The following is a 17,883-nucleotide window of genomic DNA, read 5'->3' on the forward strand; positions in this document are numbered from 1 at the left end:
TTGGGTTCCTTAAGGACTGTACCAAGGCTTCAGAGTGAGCAGGGGGACATCTGGATAGGTTAGCCAGGGCCACAGAGAGAAGAGCTGCTTACACCTGAATTGTTTCACCCTTTTCAAGAACAGGGTTGTCCTTCTCCCCATCTGGATCCTTGGGCTAGATCTCTGCCGAGGGGCTCCGTCAAGTCCCGCAAGGCTAGAGAAGGGAGCCCCACATCATTTCCACTTTCAAAGAGGGAAGATGCTCGTCATTCAAATTACTTCTGTTGATTTCCATGGTATCCCCCTGTCCGTCCCACAATCTCTTACCAGGCGTCAATGCACATGCAGGGGATGGAAAGAGGATGAGCCGATGAGCAGACTTTGCATTAATCAAGGAGAAAGAAAAAGCAGATGGAAGGAGGTAGGTAGATGGAGAAAGCAACAGCTCCTTTTAGCCCTTGATGATGGCCCTGAAGGCCTGTCTCTTTTAGTGACTCCTCTTTGGGTCCTCTTCCCCTACCTCTCAGTGACTAGGTTCCTCATATTAATTCCCTGCTGTGAGTTTGGCTCCTTGTGCTGGGCAATTCAGTCATCCTCAGAAAGAGCAAAGTTGGTCTTGGAATTAAGGTGCAGGTGGGGAAAAAGAGGGACTCAGCTAGACACGAAGAAAGGCTCTCTTCCCAGTCTAAGCCCTTCTACCGTAAGGGGCATTTTATCAAGACAGCCACCCAACTCCCCATCCCATCTCCCCTCCTTTGTAGAAACAGCATTTGACTCACCAAGCCTTTCTCTCCCTTTCCGTGTGTCTTGCTTAGTTTCTGGATTGAGAGAATTTCTATCCTTGCTCCCTCGAACTCTAAAAGAGCTTCTTTTGAAAACTGGGGAGTATCAGGCCTACCTCTACATGTGCAACAGTGCCAGGATTCAAAGGAAAAGCTCATTCCAGCCTCTGCCTCTTGGGAGATGGTTCAGAGTGCCACATAGGGACTGAAAGAGGGTGTCTGAATCCTTCAGGAATGCTTTAAGTGACATTGTTGAAAAGAGATAAAGAAAAGGAAAACAATGGAATTGGGTTTCTAAGGTCCCTGGAAATATCCTGGGGGTCTAATAGAGAAAGAAAATAAGAGGAAATTTGAAGACTCACTTCTTCCTTCATCTGAATCCACTCAGATGGCAACTGATCTCTGTCCCAAGGACCCTCTACCCCACCCAATTCATAATCATCTCAGATTAGAAAAGGCAGAATTCCTTCCCATTCTCAAATCAGCATTTGGGTTAGGGGCCCCTAAGTTACGTGAGCATGTTAGAAATGTGACCCCAGGCCTCAAGAGAGAGGCTCTGCCACATGAGAGGAGATAGGAATCATGACTGAAAGGGGATTAGCACAGAACAGAGAAAACTGATTTGATAGACAAATCAAATAGAAAATATAAAAAAAATCAGCCAAACTCCCAGAGGTCCTGCATTTCCTCTCACGTCTTTGCCCAGCAACAAGGTCCAAGACCCTGTGGGACCAAAGGGTCAGGGGTTAGTCCAGAGGGAACAAGAAAGGAGAGGGGATTAAGGAACATCCTGGGCAGTGAGCTGGGAAAAGGGAAGAACTCAGACCTGGAAAAAATGTGGTTGAAGTTAAAAAAGAAAACCAGTTGTGGAGAGGCAAAACTTTCCTTCAGGCCAAGTCCTATTTGTTTTTGGAGTCAGCTCACCAGCACAGGGCCTAGCATTTAGAAGATTATGAATAAATATTTGATAATCTGACGGCAGAAGCCATGGGGAAAGGGTTCTGGGTGGGAGAAACAGGATCCTGGGGGTTTCTGCCAGGCAGTTTTTGGCTCTAATCCAGGAGTGAATTCTACCTCTCTCCCAGCTGTTTGCTCCAGACACTCAGGAGCTGGGGGCTGAGCAGCACTGTACTCCAGCTGTCTCTGAGAGAAGGATCAGCTGAGCTCATCTCAGCCTGGGCTCAGGATTTCCACCGCAAAGGTCAGGGGAACTCCAGCAGATCTGGGAGGTCTGGGAGGGAGGAGCTGATCTCCCAGTAAGAAAAGGGGCATTTTAACTCCAGCCTTGGCCTGGGGGCTCAGAAGACCTGGGGACGGAGAGGAAATGCGGCCACTGGGGGAGCCTGCCACCCCGTCCCAGCCTGGCCCCACTTACGGAACTGAATGAATTATCAATACTCTCGGTGCTGGAGGAGAGCTCCTGGGAAAGGGCCAGAGGGCAAAGGGAGAAGGAGGGGGTGGGAAGGGAGGGGAGAGAGACAAAGGTAAAGAATTTAGCTCCAACTTGGATCGTAACTGCTTCTCTAGTGAAGTTCTACCTTTCTGCTTTAATAAAAGAAAGTCAACTCAGAAATGCTACTTGCCCAGATGCTTGACCACTTGTAGGAGATGCTGGAAGGGCAGCTCAGACTTTAAGGTCAGAAGGACTGAAGAGACAAAGCAGCCTCTGCTTTTCACTTTATTCACTTCTATTCTCAACTGAATGGATCTTCCTTCTAGGCCAAAGCTCTAAAGCTGGGTCCCTAGGGCAGTAACTGCACTGCCAAGCTTCCCTGCTCTTTTTTTTTACCCACTCACATGCTCTCAACCAAATCCTTCTCCATGGGGACCACCACAGGACTGAACTTAATAAGCTGCATGGCTCCCATACTGGAAACCCCATGTTCCTCCAGCTTTTTGGAAACCTCAGGGAGGAAGAAAAGCTAAACTTTCAGTGGCAGGTATACCTCTTCTCTAATTAGCCTCATTATCACCCTGGGAAGCTGAATCCCAACCTTGAACCTCTGTGACAAAGAGCATCCTAGACCAATAAGCCCAAAATCTCTGGGCTGGATGCTGATGGGAGTGAAGGATAAATCAATCTCCTATCTACCAAACCTCCTTAGGCTTCCTATCAGGCTATCCACATGACAATCAATATACTACAATTTTTGATATAAGTTGGGGAGTTAGCTATATCCATCTAGAAAGCTGACTAGCTGGATAGCAGCTGTCCTAGTCCCAGCCCAGAGGATTTATCTAAACATCACCCCATTGCTGTGTCATATGTGTCCGTGTGCAAAAACAGGGGAAAGAGATGGTGTCAAACTCTCACTCAGCAGCTCTGAGGCAACACTCATGCACAGGGCTCATCCTGGGTTCTGTCCAACATGGTCTACCAGGGCAGGGAACAGAGCAGCACGTGTGCACAAATCTAGGTTGTGGGGGACGTTGAGGTCGGGGTGGGGGAGGTTAGACTTAAAAGACAAAGTCCTAAGAGCTCCCAGGGCAGGAGGGCAGTGGTGAGTTTCTACTCTGAAATCTGCTGAGTAGATTCAAGCATCCACTTGAACTCAATTCCATGGTTTCAGTTCTATTCTAGCTGGAGGTCCTATAGTCAGGTCCTTCCTTGAAGAATCTGGGGACTGGAGCACTTTGAGGGAGAAGCCACATTTGGAAACATGCCCCTAAGGCAACAACTCTTCCATTTTGGGTAGAAGGTGGTGGGAGAATTAAGGCAGTGAGGATGTCAGAGTCTATTATGAATTAGTGGTTCTATTTCTACCTATGAGCTGGTTGGAGAAGGAACAGCAGGCAAGATATTGGCTCCCTGAGCAACGCTCCAGCTGATTCTGTCACAGACAGGTCCTGTCTGACTCATTGACAGCCCTGGGGGAAGGGAGGTATATCATGACCTGCTCCTCTCCTACTCCCTGGGCTTGAGTCACTCACACTGAGTCAGCTCCGGGGAGTAAAGATGAAGCAAGAAGCTGACATCACACCATATCAAGCTAGAAGGCCTACTGGGGCTTCCAGTGTGACATGCGGCAGATTTCTCTGTACAAAGGTTGCAGTCCTGAAAAGACAAAGCTAATCTACTAACAGTGTCATCATATCGGGGAGGGTGTGATACCTAAATCACTCTCTCCTTTTAGCTCCCCCATTCTATACCAAAATATTTGCCATTTGGTTACAAATGGGAGGACAAACTGCCTGGGCAGAGTTCCCCGACTAGGCTGATAAAATGGCTTTGAAGCGGCAGGCTTTGAGGAGCAGTGGTGGAAAATGTGAAAAATCAGCACAAAGCCTTCTGACTGTGGGAGAGAGTGTAAAGGATTCCTCATAGTAAGAAAGAGAACACTGTGAGAGCTGAGCAGAGAACAACTCTGCAGGGAGACCATGGGCAGGAAGAGAACTGTACATGCTGCCCCTGAGCCTCTTCTTTGAGGCCCGACCTCATCCTTGGGAGCCCCTCTACTGGTGGTAGGAGCATAGTATTAAACTCAGAACCTAAAAGAAAAGCAAGAGACTGGGAGCAGAGTGTTAGGGTCTACCTAGAGATTCTCCTAGAGTATCTCTGCTTAGGTCTTAGATAATTATGTGCCTCATTTTAGTAAGCTGTATACTTCCTGCTTATGGCAGAAAACAACTTTTTCAAGAGAGTCACAAACTAAACAGTTCCATAGATACTGGGGTTTTCATTATTACTTCACATGTTCCTAGAGGGAAGGATAACATTTTATCCCCCGTCCTCCACAGCACAGCTCACGGCTTTGGACATTGTACAAAGTCAATAACTACATGTTGAGTGAATGAATGTTACATGAAAGGGAAGAAGGATGAGTAAAAGGAAAACCAATTCCTTTGGTATTTAGGGGACAAAAGCCTTGACAGACGCATCCTCAAAATGCCAAAGGGGCTGGGTCTAGTCACTCATGCCTGTAATCCCAGTGACTTGGGAGGCTGAGGCGAGAGGATGACTTGAAGCCAGGAGTTTGAGACTAGCTTGGGCAATAGAGCACGACCTCATCTTTACAAAAAAATTTTTTAAAAATTAGCCAGGTGTGGTGGTACATAGCTGTAGCCCCAGGTACTTGGGAGGCTAAGATGGGAGGATTGCTTGAGCCCAGGAGTTAAAGGCTACAGTGAGCTATGACTGTGCCACTGCACGCCAGCCTGGGCAACAGAGCAAGACCCTGTTGCAAGAAAAAGGGCGGACGGACAGACAGACGGGTGGGCGGAAGGAAGGAAGGAAGGAAGGAAGGAAGGACGGATGGAAGGAAAAGGGCTGGGAGAGACCCCTGTGCTGACGACTCTAATGCTTAGAAACCTAGTGATATTCATGTTTCTGTCTCTTTCTTGCTCTCCCATTTTCTGTGGAGCCATAATGAATTCAGGTATTTCATTCTGTCAGTATCAGATAACGCAGGAGTGCCTGGGAACATAGTATCTCCTTCCTCTCCTGGATCTAGTGACCCAAGATAAGGAGTCAGGTTGGAAGAACGGCAGCTACAGAACCCACCCTAAATGATGTAAGTATTCACCTAATACCTGCCTCTCAGTGCCATCCATAATCTTATCCTGGAGTGGGAGTTAGATGTAAGGAAAGAGGGACCAAGGATCAGCAGAGTAAGAAAAGCCCTGAGGCCTCAGCTTTTCTGGTCCTAAGATGAGCACTACAAAATGGATAAAGAGAAAAGCCAAGCCTGACAAGAGGCACCAAGGAATTCACTTCCAGCTGCTCACCCTCTGCTACAGGTTTGACTCCAAGATGAGACAGCTATCCAACCCTTCATGTTCCACTAGAATCTGGATGACTCTTCTTGTTCTGCAGCAACTTCTCTTCATGACCCAGGGCTCTGCTGCCAAGCTCAACCAGATATGAAAACGGTTCATTCTAGTTCTGACAACAGTTTTGGCTTTGCCTGTGCATGGATGTGGAAGCTCAGATGGCCATAGCCTGGGCCGTTCTTCCCCACATGGCTTCTGACAGCTGGGGACCTTGGGAAGTAGATATTGAGAAATAACCAAGGTAGTTCAGCTGAATGATTATGAGCACCAGCTGGAGATTTGAGTCCTGGTCTGACATTCACTAGTTGAGGGACCTTGGGCAAAACATCTAATCTTTCTAAGCCTCAGTTTCCTTGCTGGCAAAATAATACCTGTCTCTCAGCATGGTTGTGAGGATTAAATGTAAAGTACTTGGCAAGATGCCTGGCACATAAGTGCTGAATAAATGTTAGCACTTTTAGCTTTACCATTATTAAACTATCCTAACAAAATTCCAAATTTCCAGAGAGCAGGCTCTATAGTCTCCCTCCCTCTTCCTTTTCTCTAGTCACTCTGACTTCCCTCTATTTGAAAGAAGTCCCATTGTATCAAAAACGTGGGTGGGTTATATGCCCCACAGAGGCAGATGCCAAGACCATAGCTATCCGCATTTTTCAAAAAGTGCAAATTCCTCCTTTTTTTCTCCCTCTTTTCTAGGCTGGGTTGGAAGCCAGGATGGGAGCCTGGCCAATGGTGAGTCAGAGGGGAGGACTGGAGCACCATTGTCTGGCTGGGACACCAGGTCACTGACACTTGGTAGTCCACTGGGCAGCTTTCCCTGCTATCTGTCCAGATGTGGAGTGAAGAGTGGGTATAACCTATTCATGTGGCCACCTCTTCCCTGCTCTATATCCTAAGTTATACCTCCAACTGCTGCTGTAGCTTCCTCTTCTTCCCAGCCTCCAGGTCCTTGACTAGGCACTATATTTACTCTATACTAAGAGTGCTTTCTCTTCCCTTTGTGCTTCTCCCAAATGGTATGGGAAAGATACCAGCAAGGCACTCTTCCCCCTAAGGAAAGGCAGGCAATGAAGGCATTCTCCAGATGCCTCAGTGATAAGAAATAAACCTTACACTTATGTCAACAAAAGGTAGGATCTTCAGAGGGTAGTGAAAAGGGATTAGATTATGAGGAGGAGTGGCCAGGAGAATGAAGCCGATGTTCTAACATCTCCCCTACCCCAGCACACAGAAAGACAATAGTACCTTTTCCTTTCCCACAGATGCTGCTCTGAGAGGCTCTGGTAGCTATCTCAAGTCTCAGGTCAGGGTGTGGAGGGCTTCTGCCACAGTTCTCATTAACATAGTAGATGTTAATGGAATGGCAGTTTATTTATTTATTTATTTATTTAGAGACGGAGTCTCACTCTGTCGCCCAAGCTGGAGTGCAGTGGCGCGATCTCTGGTCACTGCAACCTCTGCCTCCCAGGTTCAAGTGATTCTCCTGTCTCAGCCTCCCAAGTAGCTGGGATTACACGCGCCCACCACCACGCCTGGCTAATTTTTGTATTTTTAGTAGAGATGGGATTTTGCCATGTTGGCCAGGCTGGTCTCAAACTCCTGACCTCGTGATCTGCCTGCCTCAGCCTCCCAAAGTGCTGGGATTACAAGCGTGAGCCACCGCGCCTGGCCAGTGCAGTTTAATAAAAATGATTTGGGACACAGTCAGGAGCGTCAGCCTTGCCATGACCTATATGACCTGAGGCAACTCACTTTATCTCTCTGGGTCTGAGTTCTTCCTTTGTAAACTAAGGCAGGCAAAATACATGAATTCTAAGGCCTTTCCATTCTAACATTCCATGCTTTTATCAGTGAAATGAAACAGGGAGGACAGAAAGAACAGCGTAACCCTGTGTGTATATAGGAGGCATCCTGTCTCCATGCAGCCCTCTACCACCTTTTGTCTCTGGCCCTCCCCAGAATTTTACCTCATCCTCATTCTCCACTTTAGGGTTGCTGGCTGTTCGTTTCAGGTTGCTGCTGAGACTTATGCTGGCAGTGGCATCTGACTTAGAGCGCTGGTGAGTCCTTTTGGAGGGAGACAGCCCTGTGTCAGGGGCCGGGCTCAAGGAGGGCAGCTCCCTCTTCCTGTGAGCTGGCTTTAGCTCATCTGAGAGGATCAGCTTCCGTAGCTTGGTCCCACGGGAGTGTCGTTGAGTGGAAATGTGCATGTCTGAAGAATAGGCCCCAAGCAACAGGGCACACTGGAGGGAAAAGTTAATGCTCTGGCGGCAACGGTGGACTATGTAGGGCTTAATGGCATCACCCACGTCCTCATCCATGTGGATGTACATGTTAAGCAACTGGGGCAGATAGAAGTCCACGTCCTCGTTGCGAAAGCAGAAGAGCCGGTTGCCAATGTAGGCTTGTACTCCAGGCTCCTTGGAGTTATACAGGTATGAAATGGCCATGGAGATGTCAAACAGTTTTGACTCAAACAGCCTCAGCAGCCAAGACTGTTTAGCTGAGTTGTTCTGCCGCCGTCTTCTTGCTCCTTTGGCTGTGCCTGAGGCCACAGCGGCCCCCATCTCATCTTCCTCCTCCCTGATCTGGGCAGGTGGATCATCTAGGCAACGGATCTCACTGTCCACACCATCCCCATTGACCAACTCCAGTGGGGTGCCTCTGCTAGAGACTGCCACGCCTCCATGCAAAAGCTTGACTTTCTCCAACACCTCCTGGCAGGCCTTCTGGGCCACCTCAGGGTCAATCACTGATAGTTCCCCGACCCCCTCCGTGATGACACTTAGCAGGGACCCCCCATTATTCCCTGGTGGGCCAGAAGTGGGCTCAGAAGTTGGCTTCAAGGGGGCAGGCTCCACTACTGTATCTCCCATGGCCACAGCCAGACTTCGAGCTTCCAAGCTACAGGAAGAGGGAGGGAGAAAAGAACAGAAAGGGAGACACATACACACATTGGTTAGTGGTGCCATCCTCAGATCTTCCCTTTGCTATGACACCTTCCCAGGCACCTCCTCTTTTTGTCTTCCTGGACTCCTTCAAAATCAGATAAGAAGACATATCCTAGGAAGCTTTCCTGACTACCTCCACTTCTGATTACATTACTCGTCATTCCTCCTGTAGTTACTCAGCTTAGCCTCTGTTCTTAGCTTATATATGTGAAATGTTGTTTTGTATATGTTGTATTTATATAGATTTACAAATTCTTTTTGTTGTTGTTGTTGTTGTTGTTGTTGAGACGGAGTCTCGCTCTGTCACCCAGGCTGGAGTGCAGTGGCGCAATCTCAGCTCACTGTAAGTTCCGCCTCCCGGGTTCACACCATTCTCCTGCCTCAGCCTCCCAAGTAGCTGGGACTATAGGCGCCCACCACAACGTCCAGCTAATTTTGTTTTGTATTTTTAGTAGACACACGGTTTCACCATGTTAGCCAGGATGGTCTCCATCTCCCAACCTCATGATCCACCCACCTCGGCCTCCCAAAGTGCTGGGATTACAGGCGTGAGCCACTGCACCTGGCCTACATTTACAAATTCTTTTTTTTTTTTTTTTTTGAGACAAGGTCTTGCTCTGTTACCCAGGCTGAAGTGCAGTTGAACAATCTGGGCTCATTGCAACCTTGACCTCCTGGGCTCAAGCAAGCCTCCCACCTCAGCCTCCCAAGTAGCTGGGACCACAGGTGCACACCACCATGCCTGGCTTATTTTTAAATTTTTAATCTTATTATTTTTGAGACAGGGTCTTGCTCTGTTGCCCAGGCTGGAGTGCAGTGGCGCGATCAGAACTCACTGTAGCCTTGATTTTCTGGGCTCAAGCAATCCTCCTACCTCAGCTTCCCAAGTATCCAGGACTACACGCATGTGCCTCCATGCCTGGTTAATTTTTTAAATTTTTCTGTAGAGACAAGGTCTCACCATGTTGCCCAGCCTGGTCTTGAACTGAGCTCAAGCAATCCTCCCTCCTCAGCCTCGTAAAGTGTTGGAATTACAGGCATGAGCCACCATGCCTGGTGATTTACAGATTCTTCGGGTAGACTGAGAAGCAAGTCAGGTGTTACTCCCTTGTTCCCTAACTCTTCAAATACTTTTCTATCCACTTGCTCTTCCTGTCTCCCTTTAAATGCCTGCTATAACCTTTTTATTTTCCACTTTAGACTATATTTCCTTACTCATATAACATTCTACACACAGGTCCTGTGCATCTCACCTTTATTTTTATTTTTTAGAGACAAGTCTTGCTCTGTTGCCCAGGCTGGAGTGCAGTGGCATGATCATAGCTCACTGTAACCTTGAACTCCTAGGCTCAAGGCATCCTCCTGCCTCAGCCTCCCGAGTAGCTAGGACTTTAGGTGTGTGCCATCATGCTCAGCTAATTAAAAAAAAATTTTTTTGTGCAGATGGCGTCTTGCTGTGTTGCCCAGGCTAGCTTTGAACGCCTGGCCTCAAGCAATTCTCCTGCCTCAGCCTCCCAAAGCACTAGGATTACAGGTGTGAACCACCTTGCCCAGCCATCTTTATTTAATATTAAAGTCTTGGCTAGGCGCAGTGGCTCACGCCTGTAATCCCAGCACTTTGGGAGGCCGAGGTGGGCAGATCACGAGGTCAAGAGATCGAGACCATCCTGGCCAACATGGTGAAACCCCGTCTCTACTAAAAATACAAAAATTAGCCAGGCGTGGTGGCAGGCGCCTGTAATCCCAGCTACTCAGGAGGCTGAGGCCGGAGAATTGCTTGAACCTGGGAGGTGGAGGTTGCAGTGAGCCGAGATTACGCCATTGCACTCCAGCCTGGAGACAGAGTGAGACTCTGTCTCAAAAAAAAAAAAAAAGGCCGGGCGCGGTGGCTCACGCCTGTAATCCCAGCACTTTGGGAGGCTGAGGCAGGCGGATTACCTGAGGTCAGGAGTTCGAGACCAGCCTGACCAACATGGAGAAACCTCGTCTCTACTAAAAATACAAAATTAGCTGGGCGTGGTGGCGCATGCCTGTAATCCCAGCTACTTGGGAGGCTGAGGCAGGAGAATCGCTTGAACCCGGGAGGCAGAGGTTGTGGTGAGCCGAGATCGCACCGCTGCACTCCAGCCTGGGCAACAGAGCGAAACTCTGTCTCAAATAAATAAATAAATAAATAAATAAATAAAATTAAAGTCTTGATATATTTTTCTGGTTACAGGTATTTTTTTACCTTCCCTTTTAAACTCGAAGTTCCCAGAAAATAAAGGCCAGTAAATACCATGCCAGGCTTCACTTAGAAGAAGGCAGCTCTAAAACAACCATCATCAACCCTGCTGAAGCTGTGCCGTTTCTCTGGTTGTCTGACATCATGACATCACACCCTCTTTCTCCAGTGCCGTGGCTGCTAACATATAATGGAAAGAGCTCTGGACTTGAAGGCAAATAGGCTGGGGTTGAAAATCCTCATTCAGCCTTTCAGAAATGTGCAACTTATGCAAGCCATTTATCCTCAACTGCAAATTGGGAAAAAACACTTCCTTCTCATTGTTGCTATGTGGAACAAATACCATCACGTGTATGAAAGAATCTAGCACAGTCTTTGATACATAGTAGTACTCAATATATGCTAGTTGAGGCCGGGCACAGTGACTCATGCCTGTAATCCCAGTGCACTGGGTGGCTGAGGCAGGTGGATCACTTTGAGGTCAGCAGTTCAAGACCAGCGAGACTCTGTCTCAAAAAAAAAAAAAAGAAATGCTAGTTGAATCCTCATCACCTAAAAGGTTACTAACCAGTGTGTGTGTAACATAAAACTTATATTATTTTATAAGGGAAGCAAAGAGTTCCAATTGTTTGAGAATCTTCCAGAAATACTTATGACAGCCTTTTCTGCCCCAATACCACTCCCCCCACTGTCATACACACATTCTAACAACTGGAGGGACAATTGAAAAGGCAAAAAGAAATCAGACTAGGACTCATAGATCTAGGCCTTCCAAAGAACAGGGAGGAACAGGAGTCACAAAACAAAGAACACCTCCTCTGGAGGGACTGTTGGAAGGAAGTTCAATGAAAGAACACTGCTGACCAAAGCCACTGCTCTCCAAGAACAATCCTTCAGAGCCTCACCAAATCTGGAATCAGTGCAGAACTGGGGAAATTTCATCAGATCAACCTGGCTCCAGAATCTGACTATAGCTAACAAAGGACTCAGACTCAGAGGCCTCTTCACAAAAATGCTAATAGAGTGAGTCTAAGACACACTCAAGAGCATGAGCAAGAGGAAAGATTTTGTAGAGTTGGAATACAGGTAATTTCAAAATATTAGTGACATCACCTTCAACCCCGGTGACCCTGGATGCATATACTTTGGGTAGGTGGAATAAGGAGGCCTAGAGATTCTTTAGTCCCTCTGGGAGGCTGTTTTCCACCACCACCCTTCCAGTGTCTGTTCTTGTACGTCTGAAATGTTAAGGTTACTTTTTTTTTCTTTTTGAGACGGAGTCTCGCTCTGTCGCCCAGGCTGGAGTGCAGTGGTGCAATCTTGGCTCACTGCAAGCTCCGCTTCCCGGGTTCATGCCATTCTCCTGCCTCAGGCTCACAAGTAGTTGGGACTACAGATGCCCGCCACCACGCCCGGCTAATTTTTTGTATTTTTAGTAGAGGCAGGGTTTCACCATGTTAGCCAGGATGGTCTCGATTTCCTGACCTCGTGATCTGCCCACCTCGGCCTCCCAAAGTGCTGGGATTACAGGTGTGAGCTGCCGCGCCCGGCCCCAGGTTACTTTTAACTGCCCAATATCATATAGTCCAGCTCCCTGCCTCCCAGCAGTCACCACTAAAGTTTTGCAGAAAGACGGATGGGGAACTCTTCTGTTCTCAGAGATCACCAAAAAAGGCTATTTCTGTTTCTTTCTGCCAACTCTGCCAAGCAAGTTCATTCCTGAATTTAATATCCCTGATGCAGATTGAGCTTGGTATTGGTAAGAAGGTGGCAACTCTTTCACTATGCTCTCTCCCAAAATTAGGTAGTGCCCTCTGAGCAGTAGAACCAGCATGGCTGCCTATGTGGATCTGTCCCTACTCGCAACTGTGAGTTGCACAGGAATAATAAGAAGGAAGCTTTAATCATTCCCTGCCACACCTTCGTAGGGCACTCTCATCAGAGGGTCACCGATTCAACGGGGACCACTACCTTTTAGGTCTGCTTAGAAACTCATGTGATAGCCTCAATCATCTTAAACAATCAACTTCTTTTTCTCAGTCTCTATGTTTGGTACATCCTTTCCTCTCCCTCTAGTCCACAGACTTTTAAGTCACTGAAAGCTCCTAGAAGTACACTTTTCAAAACTTTCAAGGGAAATACAGTTCAGACATTCTCCCACATAATAGTGTCTCAGACCTCACTAGAAAATTTAGCAGATGCCTGCCCCAATTAACTACGATTGGGATTATTACTGGCACCAGGAAGGCAAATAAGGATACTATCACCTCTTTTATCTCACAGACAAAAGAAAAACTCCCAGGGCTCAGCTAAGAATCACATCACAGTATTCAGAGGATTTTGCTACTGAACAGACTCTCCCTCCCGGCAGCTTTTACTCCTCAGGGAGCTAGACAGTGTTGAGAGGTGCAGGAAAAAACAGACTCCTCTCCTATATAAGCAGCTCTACCACTAGAAACCACCAAACTGGAGCTGGGTCTCTTCCCTGGCCTCTCAGGAACCCAGGCACTGCCTGCATCTGAAGCAAGTCATATGGAGAAGAAGGTGTTGTAGGGAATAGGGTTAAATTGCTTTAGCTATTTATTATTACTATTATTTTTATTTTATTTATTTTTTTGAGACAGAGTCTTGCTCTGTTGCCCTGGCTGGAGTGGAGTGCAGTGGCGCAATGTTGGCTCACCGCAACCTCCGCCTCCCAGGTTCAAGCGATTCTCCTGCCTCAGCCTCCCAAGTAGCTGGGATTACAGACACCCGCCACCATGCCCAGCTTGCTTCATTTAGTTTTGAATGCCAAGAAAATATGCCTTTGTGGGCAGGGCATGGTGGCTCACGCCTGTAATCCCAGCACTTTGGGAGGCTGAGGAGGGCAGATCACGAGGTCAGGAGATGGAGACCATCCTGGCTAACACAGTGAAACCCCGTCTCTACTAAAAATACAAAAAATTAGCCGGGCATGGTGGTGGGCACCTGTAGTCCCAGCCACTTGGGAGGCTGAGGCAGGAGAATAGCATGAACCCAGGAGGCGGAGCTTGCAGTGAGCCGAGATCACACCACTGCACTCCAGCCTGGGCGACAGAGTGAGACTCTGTCTTAAAAAAAAAAAAAAAAAAAAGCCTTTGAGGGTAACTGTTCTAAAGAAAATGAAAGGACTGGAAAGCAAAAGAAAAGGTGAAGGAAAAAGTCCTGTATTCAACAGCCTTCCCCTTCTAAGTCAGAGGAATAAGAAAAAAGTGACGGAAGACAATCTAAATTTTTAATATTAAATGACTCCTATGGCCTTCAAGGGGGTTCAGACAACTGAGGCTCTACACTTCACACTGGGAACCTAAATTCTCCTTCCAGTCAGACTGGAAGGGAAATGGAAGAGGCCTCCCCTGTTCCACAGCCTAACAGCTGGCCCCTAGGAAAAGTTGACAACTGACTGAGTTCCACAGCTCCCAACTGGGCAAAGTAGGGAATTCTGGTCTGAGTGACAAGGAATTGTTACAGGTCACACAGAGCAGCAGCTGGAGAAGACACAGAAGATATACACATATGTTCTGTGTGACTGAGCAGTTAAAATACATGTCTGCAGAGGACTCTCTGGGGAGGAGATGCTATCGCTTAACCTAGCTCCCCATTTCTTATCACCTCAAAAGATTCCAGGCAAACAACTTTCTACTGGCCTCCATTAAAGGACTTATTGGATCAGTCTCTGCTAGGACAGAATGGTAAAGAGCCCCAAATCAATCCCCTCACCCAGTTAATCACCATTCTCTTTTTCAAAATTTTTTCCATGGACTAGATAAATATGGATTGGTTTGCACCAATTCTGATATTTTTATGTTCTTATATTTTCATAGAATGGCTTTAAGAGATCATCTGATCTAGTGCCCTGCTTCCAAGCAGGCAGGCTGGCTCAATTTTCCTCCTTTTAAAGGATCCTTTATTTCCCCACCCCTTGCCTTTTTATTTTTTTCCTTTTTCTTTCTTAAGAGACAGGCTCTTACTCTGTTGCCCAGGTTGGAGTGCAGTGGTGGAATCATGGCTCACTATACGATTTCTGGTTGGGGATGCTTCCAAGGAGGAAAGCTTCTTCCTGGCCTCAAGCTACCCTCCCGCCTAGGCCTCCCAAAGTGCTGAGATTACAAAGCATGAGCCACCACAACTAGTCTCCTCTATCCTTTTTTTATACATCTCACAGTCCTTTGAGATGGATCCACAAGAGATGGAAAAACGGGTAAGGAAACCAATATCTGACGTTCATTCTACAAGGTGAATTAAGAGAGACTGTCAAAAGTTAATGGAAAAGAAAGAAAGGTTCAAATATATTAAATATTATTTAAAGTTATACAGGTGTCCAGTAGAAGAAATAAAAATGACATAATTATATAAATGAGAGGTATATCCTCTAAAGCTAAATCCTTGTTTGTAACAATAAGTAAAGAAATAGAGGAACAAATGGCCAGGTGCAGTGGCTCATGCCTGTAATCCCAGCACTCTGGGAGGCTGAGGCGGGTGGATCACCTGAGGTCAGCACTTTGTGACCAGCCTGGCCAACATGGTGAAACCCCGTCTCTACTAAAAAATATAAAAAACTAGCCAGGCATGGTGGCGGGTGCCTGTAATCTCAGCTACTCGGGAGGCTGAGGCAGAACAATCGCTTAAACCTGGGAGGCGCAGGTTGCCGTGAGCTGAGATCGCTGTAATCCCAGCACTCTGGGAGGCCGGGGTGGGTGGATCACCTGAGGTCAGGAGTTCGTGACCAGCCTGGCCAACATGGTGAAACCCCATCTCTACCAAAAAATACAAAAACTTAGCCAGGCGTGGTGGCGGGCACCTGTAATCCCAGCTACTCGGGAGGCTGAGGCAGGAGAACTGCTTGAACCCTGAGGCAGAGGTTGCAGTGAGCCGAGATCGTGCCACTGCACTCTAGCCTGGGCGACAGAACGAGACTCCATCTCAAACAAACAAACAAAAACAACAACAAAAACAAACAAAAAAACAAAGAAATAGAGGAACAAGCATTTTATCTAAAGCTATGGTGATAACCTTCAGAACACTGAGATAATTAAGGAGGTTAACTCTGCGAGAACAGGAGTAGGGATGAACGGAAACAGGACTGCTGTTTTTCTTCATAAACTCTTTGAGTACCATTGGATTTGTTACCAAATGCATGCATTCCTTCAAAAAAAAATTTTTTTTTTTTTGAGATGGAGTCTCGCTCTGTTACCCAGGCTGGAGTGCAGTGGCGCCATCTCAGCTCACTGCAACTTCTGCCTCTCAGGTTCAAGTGATTCTCTGCCTCAGCCTCCCGAGTAGCTGGAATTACAGGCACACGCCACCACACCTGGCTAATTTTTGTATTTTTAGTAGAGATGGGGTTTCACCATGTTGTCTCGAACATGCCAGGCTGGTTTCCAACTCTTGACCTCAAGTGATCCGCCCACCTCAGCCTCCCGAAGTGCTGGGATTACGGGCATGAGCCACGGTGCCCAGCCCAAAAATAATTTTTAAAGAGAGGTTGCTCCTCAAAAGAGACTCCATATCATCTTTGACTGCCTGTTCTGCTGTTGAGGAGTTCCTCCTCATGTCTTAATGTCTAACTCAAACCTTTCTTTAAGGATGTCTCAACTCATCTCTCCCCTTTGACCTCAATGGTAAAGGTAGAGATTGAGTACTCCTTTTTCCTTATAGAAACTCAGGGCCAGGCAGTCAAGCCAGCTCCAGCCCTACCAGGATCCAGGTAACTGCTGACACAAGGGCCCAGAGAGTGTGGGCATTAGGGGAGAGGGCATTCTCAAGCTACTAGCACGAGGGTAGGGAGGGCAGTGGTCTCATGGTAGTTAAGTCAATATTGATTCAGGCTGAGAACTCTGTGCAGAGCCATGGAGCTGGTATAAGCAGATTCCAGCCAGACAGCCCAAGCCAGCTATGGGAGCCGCTACTGAAACAGATGGCAAAGAAAGCAGCCTGTGCACTCACCTCTCTCTGAATTGTTCCTCCCTACTGCGAGTCCCAAATACACTTGGACTGGGTCCCCTCTTGTCCCATGCCAATTATTGAAGGGTTCCTCCCAAACCTCTTCCCCAAATCAAGGAATCTCAATTTGCTGCTTTGGATGGTGTTCAGCATTCTCATGGAGCGTGGACTCAACTCTAAGAAGAAAGCAGGGAAATGAGAGGAAATATGATTTCTGGTTGGGGATGCTTCCAAGGAGGAAAGCTGCTTTTTTTTTTTTTTTTTTCCTGAGACAGAGTTTCACTCAGTCACCCAGGCTGGAGTGCAGTGGCGTGATCTCGGCTCACTGCAACCTTCGCCTCCTGGGTTCAAGTAATTCTCCTGCTTCAGCCTCCGGAGTAGCTGGGATTACAGAAGCTCGCCACCATGCCCGGCTAATTTTTTGTATTTTTAGTAGAGATGGGGTTTCACCATGTTGGCCGGACTGGTCTTGAACTCCTGACCTCGGGTGATCTGCCTGCCTCGGCCTCCCAAAATGCTGGGATTACAGGTGTGAGCCACCGCGCCTGGCAGGAAAGCTTCTAATAAGGGGAATTATGAGGAGACTGCACCATGACTAACGACAAGGAAGAGAAAGGAAGTGGGATAAGATGACATAACTACTCCCAAACAGACCTAGAATCAGAAAATGAATGGAATCTCACGTGCCCTTTCGCTATCACAGGCTGAGAGAGACATGGCAGCAACTAGTTGCCTAAGTCTCAGTTCACTCCAAGTTCTCTTTTCCAGCCAGCTTCCTCAAAGTGCTTTCCCACAAACATACTTTCTACCTATAGAATCTGGAGTTATGGATCAAGTACGTGAGGAACAGGACAGAAAATCAGCCACTTAATGCACTGGGGGAAAAAGCAAAGCAGATGAAGGAAGCAGGCCTGGAGCTTGTCTTTCAAAATGACTTACACCCCTGGTTGTGGACTAGAAACATCTGACAGAAAGACCAAGGTGAAGGAAAATTCTCAGGATGACTAAACCACTACTAATAAATACCTTTTGCCTGAGGAACCCAAAATGTTTTGTAAACAAATAAACCAAATCTGATTTTTTCCCCCAACCCACATCCTGCTACCAACTTATTACTGCACTGATGCCTACAGAGAGTGGGCATTTTCCAAAAGGATCACTCTAGAGGTCAAGTGAGGAAGTCACATGCTGAACCCAGGAGTCCCGATTCTGAATG

At 47.3% G+C, this 17,883-nt stretch overlaps 1 protein-coding gene across 15 annotated transcripts in view, besides 1 other annotated feature; it reads right to left on the reverse strand.

The window, feature by feature from the left end:
* The window catches only part of PI4KB (phosphatidylinositol 4-kinase beta), a 35,919-nt gene that overhangs the window by 16,278 nt on the left and 1,758 nt on the right, over nt 1-17,883 (reverse strand). For 4 of the 15 annotated variants that reach the window (NM_001369626.1, XM_011509634.2, NM_001369623.2 and 1 more), the window contains 2 exons: nt 7,499-8,435; nt 2,137-2,181 (listed from right to left, as the gene is read on the reverse strand). The exons of 1 other annotated variant lie outside the window; for it this stretch is intronic. In NM_001369626.1, coding sequence (NP_001356555.1) covers nt 2,137-2,181; nt 7,499-8,407 — 954 coding nt within the window. In that variant the 5' untranslated portion in view covers nt 8,408-8,435. Of the gene's footprint in view, nt 1-92; nt 116-2,136; nt 2,182-7,498; nt 8,436-16,670; nt 16,844-17,883 lie in introns of those variants that run through there. 10 more of the 15 variants (NM_001369624.1, XM_017001488.2, XM_017001486.2 and 7 more) reach the window with 4 other exon arrangements.
* Nucleotides 3,479-3,773: an enhancer, noted in NCBI's record as "tiled region #1421; HepG2 Activating DNase unmatched - State 14:Gen5', and K562 Activating non-DNase unmatched - State 5:Enh". NCBI's record gives its function as "activates a minimal TATA promoter and a strong SV40 promoter by Sharpr-MPRA in HepG2 and K562 cells {active_cell/tissue: HepG2 | K562}" and the evidence as "EXISTENCE:reporter gene assay evidence [ECO:0000049][PMID:27701403]".

The sequence above is a fragment of the Homo sapiens genome, chromosome 1, assembly GCF_000001405.40.
Source record: "Homo sapiens chromosome 1, GRCh38.p14 Primary Assembly".
NCBI classification, from domain to species: domain Eukaryota; kingdom Metazoa; phylum Chordata; class Mammalia; order Primates; family Hominidae; genus Homo; species Homo sapiens.